We start from the raw sequence: 16,805 nt of genomic DNA, 5'->3' as shown, positions 1-16,805 counted from the left end.
GTTGGGCAGGCTGGTGTTGAACTCCTGACCTCAGGTGATCCACCCACCTCGGCCTCCCCAAGTGCTGGGATTATAGGTGTGAGCCACCATGCCCAGCCTATCTAACCGTATTTTTGTGCCCATTAACCATCCCCTTTTTATCTTCCCCTCTCCATTGCCCTTCTAGCCTCTGGTAACCGCCATTCTACTCTCTACCTCCATGAGGTAGATTATTTTAGCTCCCACATATGAGTTAGAACATAAGACATTTGTCTTTCCATGCCTGGCCTGTTTCACTTAACATAATGTCTTCCAGTTCCATCCATGTTGTTGCAAATAACAGGATTTCATTCTGTTTTACGGTAGAATAATATTCCATTGTGTGTATAAAACCTTTTCTTTATTCATTCATCTGTTGATAGACACTTAATGTTGATTCCATATCTTGGCTATTGTAAATAGTGCTGCAATAAATGTGGGGGTGGAGATATCTCTTTGATATACTGATTTCCTTTCTTTATTTCTCTTTTTTGAGACAGGGTCTTGCTTTGCCACCCAAGCAGGAGTGCAGTGGCACGATCATGGCTCACTACAGCCTTAAGCTCCCAGGATCAAATGATCCTCCCACCTCAGTTTCCCAAGTAGCTAGGACTACAGGTGCATGCCACCACACCAGGCTAATTTCTTTAAAAAATTTTGTAGAGACAGGGTCTTACCATATTGCCCAGGCTAGTCTTGAACTCTTGGACTCAAGTGATTCTTCTGCCTTCACCTCCCAAAGTGCTGGGATTACAGACATGAGCCACCATGCCCAGCCCTTTCTTTTGAGTATATACCCAGAAGGATGATTGCTGGATCATATGGTAGTTCTATTTTTAGTTTTTTGACAACCCTCCATACTGTTTTCCATAGTGGATATACTAATTTATATTCCCACCAACAGTGTATGAGCATTCCCCTTTCTCTGCACCCTTGACAACTTTTGCTATTTTCTGTTTTTTTAACAATAATCATTTTAACTGGGATATCTCATTCTGGTTTTGATTTGCATTTCCCTAATGCTTAGTGATGTTGAGCATTTTTTCATATACCTGTTAGCCATTTTTATGTCTTCTTTTGAGAAATGTCTATTCAGATCTTTTACATATTTTTAAATCAGATTTTTTTTTTGTTATTGAGTTGTTTGAGTTCTTTCTATATTTTGGTTATTAATTCTTCACCAGATGAGTAGTTTTCAAGTATTTTCTCCCATCTTATAAGTTGTCTCTTCACCTTGTTGATTGTTTTATCTGCTGTGCAGAAGCTTTTTAGCTTGATCTAATGACATTTGTCAGTTTTTGCTTTGGTTACCTGTGCTGTTGAGGTCTTACTCAAGAAATCTTAGCCCAGCCTATTGTCCCTGAAGCATTTCTCCAATGTTTTCTTCTAGTAGTTTCATGTCTTACATTTAGGTCTTTGATCCTTTTTTTTTTTTTTTTTTTTTTTTTTTTTGAGACAGAGTCTCACTGTGTCACCCAGGCTGGAGTGCAGTAGCACAATCTTGGCTCACTGCAACCTCCACCTCCCGGGTTCAGGTGGTTCTCCTGCCTCAGCCTCCTGAGTAGCTGGGATTACAGGCGCGTGCCTCCATGCCCAGCTCATTTTTGTATTTTTAGTAGAGACGGAGTTTTGCCATTTTGGCCAGGCTGGTCTCGAACTCCTGACCTCAGGTGATCCACCTGGCTTGGCCTCCCAAAGTGCTGGGATTACAAGCATGAGCCACCACGCCTGGCCTGATCCATTTTTTATTTGATTCTTGTATATGGTGAGAAATAGGGGTCTAGTTTCATTCCTCTGCATATGATTATCATTTTCCTAACATCATTTATTAAAAAGGTGTCCTTTCCCTAATTTATGTTCTTGGTGCCTTTGTCAAAAATGAGTTGACTGGGTCAGGCGCGGTGGCTCACAAAGTCAAGAGATTGAGACCATCCTGACCAACATGGTGAAACCCCATCTCTACTAAGAATACAAAAATTAGCTGGGTGTGGTGGCACACGCCTGTAGTCCCAGCTACTCAGGAGGCTGAGGCAGAAGAATTGCTTGAACCTGGGAGGCAGACATTGCAGTGAGCCGAGATCGCACCACTGCACTCAAGCCTGGCATCAGAGTTAGACTCCGTCTCAAAAACAAAAACAAAACAACAACAAAAAAATGACTTGACTGTAAATGTGTGCGTTTATTTCTGGGTTCTCTATTTGGTTTCCATTGGTCTGTGGGTCTGATTTTATACCAGTCCCACGTTGTTTTGGTTACTACAACTTTGTAGTATAAAGTCAGGTAATGTGATGCCTCCAGCTTTGTTTTGGCTCCTCCATTGTTTCATTTTTGGGAACTAGCCTGTTACTTTCAGTTTATGGCAGTAGCTCAAGATGTTTGGTAGTGGGTAAGATTAAGCTGCTCATTTCCTACATTGCTATCAACTTGTAATAAAAGAAGGCCCCAGGCAAAATTCTGCCCCACTCAAAGACATTTATTAAGCCAGTATTCATGGACCATTAGGCACAGAACATTTTATACAACCCACTCTGTAGGTTTCATGAAGTCCCAGCTTATGTCCTTTTAAATGATTTAATGACTACATGACATGAATGGTCCGCAGGAAGAGAACCAACATTTCAGAGACAGGATTTAATTATCTCTGTGGTCAGCATCAGGCAACCAGAAACTCTTCTAAAGCAATATCTGGATACAGGAGTGGTTCAGAGTCCAGGGTCTTGCACCATCTTTATAGGGGCATGCTAAAGGCCTCAATAGACTCTTACACCCTGTTCAGGCAAATGAGCAGGGCCTCTCAAATATGTTAGCATATTCACATATCTTGATTCTCTTTAATTTCATCAGTGAGCCCTTTTCTATCATTGTCTCATGCTAATTACCAACCCACTGATTTCACCACAAAATAAAACCAATTTCTGATATTCATGTGCTGATTAGCAAAGTATCTGCTATCAATCAAAATATAGATGACTCAAGCAATTTCTAAGGGGCACCTTGAATAGCCTTTCAGATATAAAACTAGCTGACACCCCTGGGGTGTAGCTTGCCCTTGGAATTGAAGCTTAATTTGACTAGCAGGTACACAGCATTCCATTGTCAATGCTGCAGTATTTACAAGTGTGAAATGAAAAACATCTTGGGCCCCCAAAATCACTAAGGAGAACTCAAGCTGGAAACTGCTTAAGGCAAACTTGCCTCCCATTCTATTCAAAGTTATCCCTCTGCTCACTGACATAGATGCATATCTGATTGCCTCCTTTGGAAAGGCTAATCAGAAACTCAAAAGAATGCAACCCTTTGTGTCTCACCTATCTGTGACCTAGAAGCTCCTTCCCCACTTCCTGACTTTGCTTCAAGTTGTCCTGCCTTTCCATACAGAATCAATGTACTTCTTACATATATTGATTAATGCCTCATGTTTCCCTAAAATGTATAAAACCAAGCTGTCCCCCGATCACCTTGGGCACATGTCATCAGGACTTACTGAGGCTGTGTCACAGGCTGTCCACAACTTTGGCAAAATAAACTTTCTAAATAAACTGAGACCTGTCTCAGATTTTCTGGGTTCACACAAGTAAATTACAGCCATTAAGACACTTACTTAGACCTAAAAGAAAAAAACAATTATTTTCATTAAGTACTGTGGGAAGCAAGTCAATACCAGAACACTGGTCTCAGGCTTTGTGACTATTTCATTCATCTCAACTTCTGTCTGAGAAGGAGACAATTAATATGAGATACAACTGAAATCTGTGAGATTGTATTGGGAACTACAAATTCCTAAGCATTCAAGTAAGGAAAGATTCTTGTTATTCAACAGAGGTTATTTCAGTACAAGTAAAAGGAAATATTATTTCATATGGCTCTTAGGAACTGGTTATCCCAAAGGTAGTTCAGGCTGCAAACAAACAATTTATTCTGGGCTAAATCAAAGGTCACAAAGTGGCACCCCAGAAAAATGTTTTATTTGGCCTGAACAACTTTGTAAAATTATTGAATTTGAGCCAGTACTTAAAAATCAGTTGCCATCCCCATAAAAATCTGGATTTCTGGTTTCTCTTGAAAAAAATCAGAAGATCTGACAATATTACGTCTGCATTCCCTGCTCACATAAGGCAGCTGGAATCAAGGAATCACTATATCCCATAACAGCCATTTTCTTTTTTTTTTTTTTTTTAACAGCCATTTTCAATTGTAGAAAGTGAAGTAGAGGTTTCTCTTCAAAGGGACTTTCCTCCCCGTCTAATTACGAATAAATAGTAACTTCTTTTAGAAGCAAAATTTATTCAAAGACCTGGGCTAACATTCTTAGATATCTGCTAGCCGTAATAAAGAAATCAATGTACTTTGTGTTCTTAGCTCCCATATTTTAGCCTAGATATTTGCCCTGGCATGCTTATACTGGTCCAAGCAAGCATTAGGCCACAGCCTGTTCCTCTTCCTTATTTGGAGGTGTTTTTACCTTTCTCAGCATTCCACAAGTGGCTTCCACCTTCCTTTGTTCTCCTCTGCCTTTGCCTCTTTTGGAAAGTTCTAAGTCACTAGCCAATCGGGACTAGTACAGAATGTGAGGTCGCATTCCATCCAGTGGAAACCAGACACAGCAGTAGGGTGGCCACTTCAGGTTATAAGTGACCCTGTCTCCTTTGTTCGGGTGTGCGCTCATGGCAAGACTGCTAGTGAGCGGCACCCTTTCTGCAGAAAGTAAACTAGCCTTGCTGAGAGATCCTTTGTCTCAGTGTTGATTTTTGCGACACCAAGCACCTGTTCCCAACGCTCTCCAGCTTGCTACAGTGCACACCATGCCCCATTACTTTCCAACACTGAGGTCCAGTGCCAGTTACACTCCTTAACTATTCTCACCAGTTGAGCCTTGAAACATAATCCTAGGTGGATCATGGAACTGAATTTCTGCCCAATTCCTGCCTTGGGATAAGATGATATTCCTGCCTCAATAGACTCTTCATCAAAAGACAATGTATGTTCATGAAAAGACAAACCATACAATGGGAGAAGATATTTGCAACACATATAACTACAAAGGGGTAGTACTCCAAACAATACAAAGAATTTCTACAAAACGACAAGAGAAAGACCATCAATCCAACAGAAAAGTGGGCAAAGAGATGAACAGGCAATTCACAGAAGAAACAGGAATGATCTGTAAACACAGGAAAAGATACTCAACTCCATAGTGATCCAGAAAATAAAAGTTTTTATCACAATAAAATATTATTTCACATTCATTATATTGGCAAAAATCTAAGAATACCAGCATCACCAAGAATTCTATGCATCACCAGTTGAATTTTGATTGGCCCAGTCTCTCTAAAGAATGGTTTGAACTCTCTGGAGAAGCTATTTATCCAAGGTACCAGAAGTTCCACTCTTGGGAATTAACTCTAGAGAAACCCTTGCAGAAATTCACAATGAGACAGGTACAAATATGTTCATGGCCATATGGTTTGTAATAGCCCCAAACTGGTAACAACCTAAATGTGTGTCAGCAGAATAAAGTAGGACATATTCATACGATAGGGTAATATATAGTTGCCATATACATCAACAAGAATGATTTTCAGAACACATTTGACATAAAAATCAAGCTGCATAAGAAAACACACTATGATGCCATGTATATAAAGTTGCATGCAAAGCAATATTACGTATTGTTTGGGGATACATTTATTAAAAATATGAGAATATAATAAATACCAACTTTAGGATATTGATTACCTCTCTAAGGAAGAAAGGGGAATGAAATCAACATGGGTCTGCAAGATTCTTTGGCTGTATTAGAAATGCTTTATTTCGGCCAGGCATGGTGGCTCATGCCTGGGATCCTAGCAGTTTGGGAGGCTGAGGTGGGAGGATTGCTTGAGCCCAGGAGTTTGAGACCAGCCTGGGCAACACAGCAAGACCCCATCTCTAGTCTTAAAAAAAAAAATAGATAAAATAAGAAAGAGATGCTTTATTTCTTGAGTTGGGTGGGTAATACTACCTAGCTGTGTGTTATATTAGTCTTTTTTTTTTCTTTTTAGGCAGAGTCTCCCTCCATCACCCAGGATGGAGTGCAGTAGCCTGATCATAGCTCACTACAGGCTTGAACTCCTGGGCTCAAGTAATCCTTTTGCCTCAGCCTCCCAGGTATCTGGGACTAGAGGCATGTACTACCACACCTGGCTAATTTTTAAATTTTTTTGTAGAGACTAGCTCTCCCTATGTTGCCCATGCTGGTCTTGAACTTCTGGCCTCAAGCAATTCGCCTGTCTCAGCCTCCCAAAATTCTGGGCTTATAGATGTGAGCCACTGTGCCTGGCCTGTTGTATTAATCTTTATACCTTTTTGTATTTATTAAATATTAAAAAACAAATTTTAAAATAAATGCATTTATTAATATCTAGTTTGCAGTTTTCCTCTTTTATTTCAGAGTTAATAAAAACTTTTTCCAGGCTGTATTAGTTTCCTGTTGCTGTGTAACAAATTACCAAAAATTTGGTGGCACACAAATTTATCTTGGAATTCTGGTCCCTTCCTCTATCTTTAGAACCAGCTGCAGCATCTAGAAATCTCTCTCTGTCCTCTGCTTCTGTCATCACCCAGCCTCTGAATCTGACCCTCCTATCTTCCGCTTAGAAGGACCCTTTTGATTACATTGGGCTTACCCAGATAATCCAGGATAATCTTCCCACTTCTCAAGATCCTTAACTTAAGCACTTCTACCAAATCCCTTTGCCATGTAAGGTAACATATTCACAGGTTTGGGGGATTAGGACATGCACATCTTTGCAGGAGCATTTTTCTGCCTGCCACATAGGCCTTAAACACTTTTGTAGGCCCTAGTGCTGTACCTATTGTGTGGAGTGGAGAAACCCCTGCCCTGCTTAGCTCTTAGTAAATATCTGCTTTGGTTTCCCTGCCCTGGCAGAAACCCAGATGGCCACAAAGCAGCCAAAAGCCTAGCCCTGGAGGTGCGGGTGTGGGGATGGGGGAGAGAAAATCACAGAGGCTGGAAATTCCCAAGCTGGAGAATGGATCCACAACTACCAAGAGTGGTTCTGAATTAGAACAGTTAGGTCTCAAAATTCCTCAGAGCAGCCACATGGAATACTCTACAACAGAAATCTGATCAGTCACTCTCCTATGTAAAACCCCTTTATGGCTTCCCCTTGGCTTCAGAATAAGGAACAAAGTCCTTCAAGTGGTCCTAGAAGAGGGTTTCTCAACCTCAGCACTACTGACATTTGGGGGCGGAAAATTCTTTGTTGTCAGAGCTATCCTCTGCATTGCAGGATGTTCAGCAGCATCCCTGGAGCACCCCCCAACACACTTGTGACAACCTTGCCAAATGTCCCTGGAGGACAAAATTGCCTTCCATTGGGAACCACTGCCCTAGGCAGTCCCACAGGATCTGGCCCTGTCTGTCTCCCCAGGCTCATCTGCTCCCCAGGGGTCCCCAGCCTGCGCTTTCTTCTTTAGCCACCTAAAGGGCATCTCTCAACTGGACACCACATCCCTCCTGCCTCAGGATTTCTGCACACAGTCCTCTTCCTGGGCTGCCCCTCCCTACCTGTTGTCACCTGGCAAACTCCTTGTGTCTCAGCATAAAGGTTTCCTGCTCAGGCCCCCTGCCCTACCCCACCTCCAGAGCCCTACACTGTGTCCTGTGGCAACCCCGCTTCTCTGCCACATGCTGCTTCCTGCCGCCTCCAGAAGAACAGGGACAGTGACTATCTGGTCCTCCCACAGTGCTAGTGAGTAGCAGCTACTTAGTCCTTATTATCTCATGATTGGCAGATACTGTCTCCTACCCCACATCTGTCCCACATTAGATGCCCAGAACCAGAGTCAGATGTGAAGCCAAGTTAAGTCCCCGAGGAAGAAGAGCTGAGATTACTTGTGTGCTTCTTGTTGCGTCTGGACTGTGCTGCTGGCCCTATTAAAGGTTAAACAGTAACTTAGGCTGTGATCTAAAAAAGGCTCTTCCTGAGGGCAGTGAGCCTAGGGTTCCCAAGGCTACACATCAGGAATCCTTTGCCCCAGGGCTCCTGTTAAATTATGCCCTCCCTGGGAGGGGCCAGTACCATGGGCCTGGCACCAGCCACCAAGTGTCTGGGATAGGAACCACACAGCAGTCACCTTGCAGACAAGGACAGCCCAATGGGGAGAAGCCAGTGCTCTCAACCAAGAGACATTGCTTGAGGCCAGGAGTTCAAGACCAGCCTGGGTAACTCCTATGGTTTGGATTTGCGTCCCTGCCCAAATCTCATGTCAAGTTATAATTCCCAATCCTTCCCAGTCTGTAGGAGGGGCCTGGTGGGAGGTGGTTGGATCATGGGGGTGGATTTCCCCCTTGCTGTTGCCCTGAACATCTGTGAGTCCTCACGAGATCCAGTTGTTTAAAAGTGTAGCACTTCGCCTTCTCTCTCTTCCTCCTGCTCTGGCCATGTAAGACATGCCTGCTTCCCCTTCACCTTCCGCCATGATTGAAAGTTTCCTGAGGCCTCCTCAGCCATGCTTCCTCTACAGCCTGCGAAACTGTGAGCCAATTAAACCTCTTTTCTGTTTTGTTTTGTTTTTGTTTTTTTTTTGAGATGGAGTCTCACTTTGTCGCCCAGGCTGGAGTGCGGTGGCGCAATCTCAGCTCACTGCAACCTCCCAGGCTGGAGTGCAGTGGCGCAATCTCGGCTCACTGCAACCTCCACCTTCCGGGTTCAAGAGATTCTCCTGCCTCAGCTTCCCGAGTAGCTGGGATTACAGGTGCCCACCACCATGCCTGGCTAATTTTCTATTTTTAGTAGAGATGGGGTTTCACCATGTTGGCCAGGCTGGTCTCAAACTCCTGACCTCAGGTGATCCACCAGCCTCAGCCTCCCAAAGTGCCGGGATTACAGGAGTGAGCCAGCACGCCCGGCCTAAACCTCTTTTCTTTATAAATTACCCAGTCTCATACTGCTATGTCTTTATAGCAGTATGAGGATGGACTAATACGGCAACATAGCAAGACCCCTGACGAAGTTTCCTCTTGTCCACCCCATCCTGGCAAGGTAAATAACACACCACCAAAACTCAGCCTTGACCTCACCAAATGATCATTATGTCCCCATTAAAAAGTTGTAACTGAGACTCTGAAATGGAATCCTGTGAACAACACTGAAAGGACAGAGCCCAGCTGCTATTTGGCGGCAGCCACAATGTCCCAGGACAGGAAGCCCTTCCTGGATCCTTCTCTGCTTGCTTTCAGTTGTCCCCTCTTCTCCCACACAGCCTCCCAAAGCAAGCCCCACATTCTCCCTAAGTTGCTATTTTGTGAATTGGGTTTCCCAACTTTAGTCAACATGTTGACAAATATATTCCTTGTATTATTATTCACTTAATATTTTCTTTTAAGTGCATATACCTCTTTCCATAATAAAAATACTTTTTTTTCTGCTGGGTGTGGTGGCTCACACCTGTAATCAGCACTTTTGAAGGCTGAGGCAGGCAGATCACTTGAGGTCAGGAGTTCGAGACCAGCCTGGCCAACATGGCAAAACCCCATCTTTACTAAAAATACAAAGATTAGCCGGTGTGGTGATGCACACCTGTAATCCCAGCTACTCAGGAGGCTAAGGCACAAGAATTGCTTGAACTCGGGAGGCGGAGGTTGCAGTAAGCCAAGATCACACCACTGCACTCCAGCCTGAACGAAAGAGTGAGACTGTCTCAAAAAACAAATAATAATAATAAATAAATATAGTTCTTTTCTGATTGTGTAACTCAGTGTATACTCATTATAAAAAATGCAAACAACACAAAAAAAATAAGGAAGCCAAAAACCACCTGAAATCTCATCACCCCGGGAAAACCACCATCAACATTTTGATGTCCTCCTTTCCTACATGTCTTTATCCAAATACACACATAAATGTGATTTTACACACATAAGGCATATTTTTTTGCTTGAATAAATGTGTTCAAAAGGAAATGCTCTACTGGCATCATTAATAGCAAACTGCCATCACTTGCAAGAATAGAAGGTAACTCCTCCCAAATAAATACAACAAAAACAAAACAATGTGGCCGGGCTCAGTGGCTCACGCCTGCAATCCCAGTACTTTGGGAGGCTGAGGCGGGCAGATCACCTGAGGTCAGGAGTTCAAGACCAGCCTGGCCAACATGGCAAAACCCCGTCTCTACTAAAAAATACAAAAATAAGCCAGGCGTGTTGCCAGGCACCTGTAATCCCAGCTACTCGGGAGGCTGAGGCAAGAGAATTGCTTGAACCTGGCAAGCAGAGGTTGCAGTGAGCCGAGATTGCGCCCCTGCACTCCAGCCTGGGCAACACAGTGAGACTCCGTCTCAATAAACAAAACAAAACAATTGACTAAATATCTGGTCAGATACCATAACTCACCAAGGCTCCCAAGCCTGAGGCCCAGTCTCTAGGGGATAACAGGGGAAGATTAGCAAGTGTTGTCAGGGAGGGGGCTTTATAGGTTAGCTTTTCTCCCAGGTGCAATTAGAAGGATTAAAAGAGAATGAGAAGGCCCGGCGCAGTGGCTCACACCTGTAGTCCCAGCACTTCGGGAGGCTGAGATGGGTAGATCACAAGGTCAAGAGTTTGTAGACCAGCCTGGCCAACATAGTGAAACTCTGTCTCTACTAAAAATACAAAAGTTAGCCGGACGTGGTGGCACGCGCCTGTAGTCCCAGCTACTCCGGAGGCTGAGGCAGGAGAATCGCTTGAACCTGGGAGGCGGAGGTTGCAGTGAGCCGAGATTGTTCCACTGCATACCAGCCCAGGCGACAGTGAGACTCCGTCTCAAAAAAAAAAAAAAAAATGAGAAGAGGAAAATTTTTCTCTACTTCTACTGCTATCTGAGTCCACATCTGTGCAGTAGGTTAAACTTTCTAGGGTGCTCTGTAAGCACCTTCCATATTCTATGGAGAAGGCAGGGGGCAGAACCACAACTACCAGGCATTCCAGGGTTTGTTCCTGACAGCGCAGAGGGGAGAGGCCATGTAAGCACCAGCGTCCTGCCCCCAGAAGCCTCAGAAAACTGTGAAGCCTCAAACAGCACTTCTGGGGCACAAGGTCCCTGACCCTCACCCCGAAAGGTCTCACCATAGCTGCCCTAGTCCCAGGCACCCCTCCTAACACCTCCAGAGCTGATAGGAAATTCCAGAGTTCTTTTTCCTCCTTCTTCACAAAGCCCCTTATGTATCAGGAACCAACATTCCTAAGCAGAAGACGCAAAGTCTTGTGTGTGTCGGGGACTGTCAATGACAAGAGAAGAGAAGCCCTCTCACCTTGGGCTGGATTCCCAGGTGCAGAGAGCAACAGCCAGGCCAGGCATGCAGGGGGAGGCAAGTGAGGTGCCCAGGGTGCAAAACTTAAGGAGGTGTTCACTCTCTACTGCCGGCCATGAGCTTGCACAACCCTGAGAACCAGTGCTTTGCTTGTCTCACCCTGGGCAGCGGAGACGACCTGTGAACCATTCAATACATGGTGCCAGGACAACTGGGTATCCATGTGGAAAAAGATAAAATTTCATCCTTACCTATGCTATACACAAAATAAATTCAACATGGGTCAAAGACTTAAAGGTAAAAGGAAATTATTAAAACTTTTACAGGCCGGGCGCAGTGGCTCATGCCTGTAATCCCAGCACTTTGGGAGGCCGAGGCGGGTGGATCACCTGAGGTCAGGAGTTCGAGACCAGCCTGGGCAATATAGTGAAATCAACTGCACTACTAACCAAGGAAATGCAATTTCAAATTAGTACGATGACATGCCAATTCCTAACCATCTCATTGGCAAAAATGTAGAGGTCTAACAATGCCAAGTGATAGAGAGATTATGAGGAAATAAGGACTCTCTTAGCTTGCTGGTGGGACTGTGAATTAGGGAGGCAGCCTGGTGCTGTCCAGGAAGTGCAAAAGGTGTGTGCACACGTGGTCACTACTTAGCTGGCTACTTTTCCATCCTCAATTCTTCTGAAACATCGCTTCCCACTTCCTCTTCCTAATGCTCAGCTCTGAACATATCCCTTTCCCTCTTTAGATGCCTTCAATGACTCCCTGTTGTCTATGAAGAAGGGCCAAACTCTTTAAGTGGACACTTTAGCCTTCCATGATGTAACCCCAACCCTTGTTTTGGTGTATATCCCCTCTGCCCTATGTTCTTACAGCTCTACCTGTAAAACTAACAGTATAGACTGAAAACTCTCTCTTAAATCCTTACCCACATGGAATGTTAATGAGAGAGAAGAAGAGGTGGGGGTAATCTACTTTAACACCTTATTATGTTACAGAAGAGAATGCTGAGGCCCAAAGAGACTGAATGCTCTACCCAAAGCCACACAGCAAGATAGGGAACCAGAGACCCCAACTTTTCTGATCCCGGATAAGGGCTCTTACCATTGCATATCTCTTCCTGTGCTGAAGTATCTCAGGCCCAGCTGTGGGGGTGCAAGCAGATTGTGCCTAATTGACACAGCCCAGGAGTGACAGCCACCGTTTGTCACAAAGCAAAAATATCTCAAGATGCTGGAGCAGGAAAGTACTTCCCGTGCCGGCAGCCCACTGGTCCTGAAGCACCGCATCCCCGAAAGGGGATACCCTTGTGTTCACCTTGTCGACAGGGAGCAGCCAGGTCTCTCTTTTGCTGTAATTGGGTTAGTCTTGTGGGTTGGCCCCCCTCTCAGTTGTCAAAAGAGATTATACAGAAATGCACTGCTGCACTGACCATAGCTCAGGCACAGGCTGAGGCTGAAGCAGGAGGGAATTTTCAAATGCATTCGTTAATCACCCTAAGTAACTGCGTGCTGCCAGCTGCAGTCAGTTTTGCTCCAAAAAGAGCTCAGAGGTTTCCCTGTAAACTGCAGCTTCCTCAGGAAGGTCCGGAAGCTGGTGAGGGTCTGTACTCGCCTTGCCTATATCCCCATGCCTGAAGGGTGCATGACATTAAATCACAAATTAAAAACCGCTGTGACATGGAAGACCACAGAAGAAAGGAAAAAAGCTTTCCTCCTGTTTTTTGAATAAGGGGCCCTGCAGTTTCATTTTGCACTGGACCCCACAAATTACAAAAGTGGCCCTGACCCCAGCCCAGCAGTTTCTAACCTCTAATGAGTGAGAAGGAGAACATTCATTTTCTTAGAACCCCAGGGGAGTTGCTCTGGTTGAGTCCTGCACTGACCCAGGGTGGGGACCCAGGAAGCCCAACCGTGAGGCCTCTGAATTGGCACCTGAAGGCATCTGTGGACTCAAGTCTGTGAAGACCTCTGACAGTCCACTGTCAGAACCCAGAGGTTCTCCACTTCAGCAAGCAAAAAAAGTACCTGGAGAGCATGTTAGAAATGCAAACTCTGCCGGGCGTGGTGGCTCACGCCTATAATCCCAGCACTTTGGGAGCCTGAGGTGGGCAGATCACTTAAGGTCAGGAGTTCAAGACCAGTCTGGCCAACATGGTGAAACCCTGTCTCTATTAAGAATACAAAAATTGGCTAGGCACGGTGGCTCACGCCTGTAATCCCAGCACTTTGGGAGACCGAGGCGGGCAGATCACAAGGTCAGGAGATCGAGACCATCCTGGCTAACACGGTGAAACGCTGTCTCTACTAAAAATACAAAAAATTAACCGGGCATGGTGGTGGGCACCTGTAGTCCCAGCTACTCAGGAGGCTGAGGCAGGAGAATGGCGTGAACCCGGGAGGCGGAGGTTGCAGTGAGCCCAGATTGTGCCACTGCACTCCAGCCTGGGTGACAGAGCGAGACTCCATCTAAAAAAAAAAAAAAAAAAAAATACAATTAACCAGGCGTGATGGCGGGTGCCTGTAGTCCCAACCACTCAGGAGGCTGAGGCAGGAGAATCACTTGAACCTGGGAGGTGGAGGTTGCAGTAAGCTGGGATCACACCACTGCACTCTAGCCTGGACAACAGACTCTGTCTCAAAAAAACAAACAAAAAAAGAGACCAGCCTGGCCAATATGGTGAAACTCTGTCTCTACTAATAATACAAAAATTAGCCAGGCATGGTGCTGCATGCCTGTAGTCCCAGCTACTCGGGAGACTGAGGCAAAAGAATCGCTTGAACCCGGGAGGCGGAGGTTGCAGTGAGCTGAGATCACGCCACTGCACTCCAGCCTGGGCAACAGAGCGAGACTCCATCTCACAAAAAAAAGAAAAGAAAAGAGAAATGCAAGCTCTCAGATCCTTGTTCCAGAGATTCTGACTTAGTAAGTCTGTGTGAGGGGAGTTGGAGGGGGATGGCTGAGATTTGCATTTCTAACTTCCTTCAGGTGCACCAAAAGATGAGGCTATAGTCTGTGGTCTATGCTTAGCGTTACACTGGTAACCCCTTTGTTTCACAGATGAGGCAACAGGGACCAGGGACTGAGGTGCTCACCCAGTGAACTCAGTCCTCCTGGACAGGCACTGTGAAGGCGCACTCTGCACACTCAGGCAGCACCTCCTACTGTGTCACGCCAGCTCTAGGGGAGTCTGAGGAAGGATGGCATGAGTTAGCGTCATGGTCTGAAAGTTTCCATAAATGCTTGTAGAGACAATGCGTATCCTAGAACTGAATGCTCCCCTCCTCGTGTCACCCTCTGACATATTAGGTAAGGCAAGCAGCACTGGGGAACAGAAAGATCACCCTTCATCTGCTTTGAGCCTCAGTTTCCTTAATAACAGCCAATATTCATTACACTTATCAGGCATTTCACATGCACTAATCCTCTCCACAAACCTATGGCATAAGTTCTATTATTATCCTCATTTTACAGAGAAGGAAACTGAGACTCAGAGTTTAGGTAATTTGACTAGAGTCATGTACCAGTGTGCAGAGGCGGGGCTTGAACAAATGCACTATGACTCAATAGCCCCAGCTCCTCTCCACCCTAAAGAAACTACGTTGTTGGAAGCCAGTGACTAGGGCTGTCCTGCTGGAGGTCCTCCCATTGCTGGTGCTTTAGCCCTCCCACATTCCTGGCCCAGCTCCACCCGCAGTTCCCGGTAAAGATTCCTCTCAGGTGTGCTGCAGCACTGCCCTCTGGCCCTCGTCAGGCAGCCCTCTGGGTCTGGTCCCATCACCTGGCCCTCAGCCAGTGCTCCTTGAGTGCAGCGCTGGCCTCCATGGGTGAGGGGTTCCTGGCCTCGGCCCTGTGCTCTAGAGGGCCTTGCTCCACCCTTACCAGTCGGGTGGAGAGTCTGTGGAGGGCCGAGGACCTGAAGCCCCTCCTCTAGAATGCTATGGGTACCTGCGACCCTAGAATTCCCTGCACTAATGTCCCTGAGCTATTCCCAGGGCTTGCTGGGGTTTGTCCCCTGGCCCACCTTCCCAAGAGCAACACTGGGCTCATAGGTAGCACTTGCCAAATGCATGCACCCTCTAGGCCTATGTCCAGGAGTGTGGAGTGGGGGGTGGGCAGAACTGACATGAGAGCTGGGGTGTCCACAGAGATGGACTTGAGGCCCTTCCAGGTTCAGGATGAAGAGCAGGTAGGAAGAGAAGATGGCTGGGCCACTAACTGGGGGCCACTTTTCCAGCAGTGCCATTATATTAGTTACCTATTGTTGCGTAACAAATGACCACCAACTTACAGCTTAAAATGGCACATATGTATTATCTCACAGTTTCTGTGAGTTAGGAATATGGGCAGGGCTTAGCCAGGCTCTCTGTTTCAGAGTCTCTCAGGAGGTGTTGTCTGGGGCTGCAGTCTCATCTCAAGGCTTGATTGGGGAAGGATCTGCTTCTACATCCATGTGGTCGTTAGCAGCATTTCAGTTCCTTGAGGGTTGCTGGACTGAGGGCCTCAGTTCCCTGCTGGCTATTGGCTGGAGGCTGCCCTCATTCATTAGTAATATGGATCCCTGGAACAAGGCAACTTGCTTCATCAAAGCCAGGAAGAGTGGGCATCTGCTAGCAAGAGAGAAGCCACTGTCTTATATCACCTAATCATGAATGGAACATCCCATTACCTTTGCCGTATTCTGTAGGTTAGAAGCAGCTCATGGGTCTTGCCCACACTCAAGAGGAGGGGATTACATAAGGATGTAAATGTCAAAGGTGGGAATCACTGCATGTCATCTTAGAAGCTGCCTGCCACAGCCATATCCAAGCACAGAATGCCAAGAAATCAGAAAGAGTTCTACATTCAAACCTGGCTTTCTTAATTCATTATGAAGTTATATATATAAAGGGGAGAGAATAGATAATATTTTAGTCAACAGTTTTTTTGTTTTAAGTCATCAGTTTCTTAGCTTGAGTTATACCTTTTAAATATTTAAAAGTGTATACACTTAAATATTTAAAAATATTAAGGCCAGGTGCGGCGGCTCACACCCGTAATCCCAGCACTTTGGGAGGCAGAGGCAGGTGAATTGCTTGAGCCCAGGAGTTTGAGAACTGCCTGGGAAACATGATGAAACCCCATCTCTACAAAATATAGAAAAAAAAAAAAATAGCCAGGCATGGTGGCACACACCTATAGTCCCAGCTACCTGAGAGACTAAATTAGGAGGATTGCTTGAGCCCAGGGAGGTTGGGCCTGCAGTGAGCTGAGATTGCGCCACTGCACTCCAGCCTGGGTGACAGAGTGAGACTTTGTCTCAAAAAAATGTAAATGAGGCAGAAAAAGAGGGAAGGTTAAAAAAATTTTTAATTAAAAATAAATATTTCAATATGTAATAGCAAGCTTACACTGATACTCTCATGCTGGCTCCATAAATGTTAGGGACAGGCCTGCTTCTGTACACATGTCTCGGCCACCACCTCAGACAGGGAAGACCTGTGGGCAGA

At 45.4% G+C, this 16,805-nt stretch overlaps 3 annotated features.

Annotated features, from left to right (window-relative positions):
* Nucleotides 2,895-3,481: an enhancer, noted in NCBI's record as "NANOG hESC enhancer chr2:62601400-62601986 (GRCh37/hg19 assembly coordinates)". NCBI's record gives its function as "activates a minimal SCP1, AML or CMV promoter by ChIP-STARR-seq in naive H9 embryonic stem cells {active_cell/tissue: H9 hESC(naive)}" and the evidence as "EXISTENCE:reporter gene assay evidence [ECO:0000049][PMID:30033119]".
* Nucleotides 14,604-15,104: an enhancer, noted in NCBI's record as "H3K4me1 hESC enhancer chr2:62589777-62590277 (GRCh37/hg19 assembly coordinates)". NCBI's record gives its function as "activates a minimal SCP1, AML or CMV promoter by ChIP-STARR-seq in primed H9 embryonic stem cells {active_cell/tissue: H9 hESC(primed)}" and the evidence as "EXISTENCE:reporter gene assay evidence [ECO:0000049][PMID:30033119]".
* Nucleotides 15,105-15,605: an enhancer, noted in NCBI's record as "H3K4me1 hESC enhancer chr2:62589276-62589776 (GRCh37/hg19 assembly coordinates)". NCBI's record gives its function as "activates a minimal SCP1, AML or CMV promoter by ChIP-STARR-seq in primed H9 embryonic stem cells {active_cell/tissue: H9 hESC(primed)}" and the evidence as "EXISTENCE:reporter gene assay evidence [ECO:0000049][PMID:30033119]".

This window comes from Homo sapiens, chromosome 2, assembly GCF_000001405.40.
Source record: "Homo sapiens chromosome 2, GRCh38.p14 Primary Assembly".
NCBI classification, from domain to species: Eukaryota; Metazoa; Chordata; class Mammalia; order Primates; family Hominidae; genus Homo; species Homo sapiens.
This window is presented reverse-complemented; position numbering and strand designations above follow the sequence as displayed.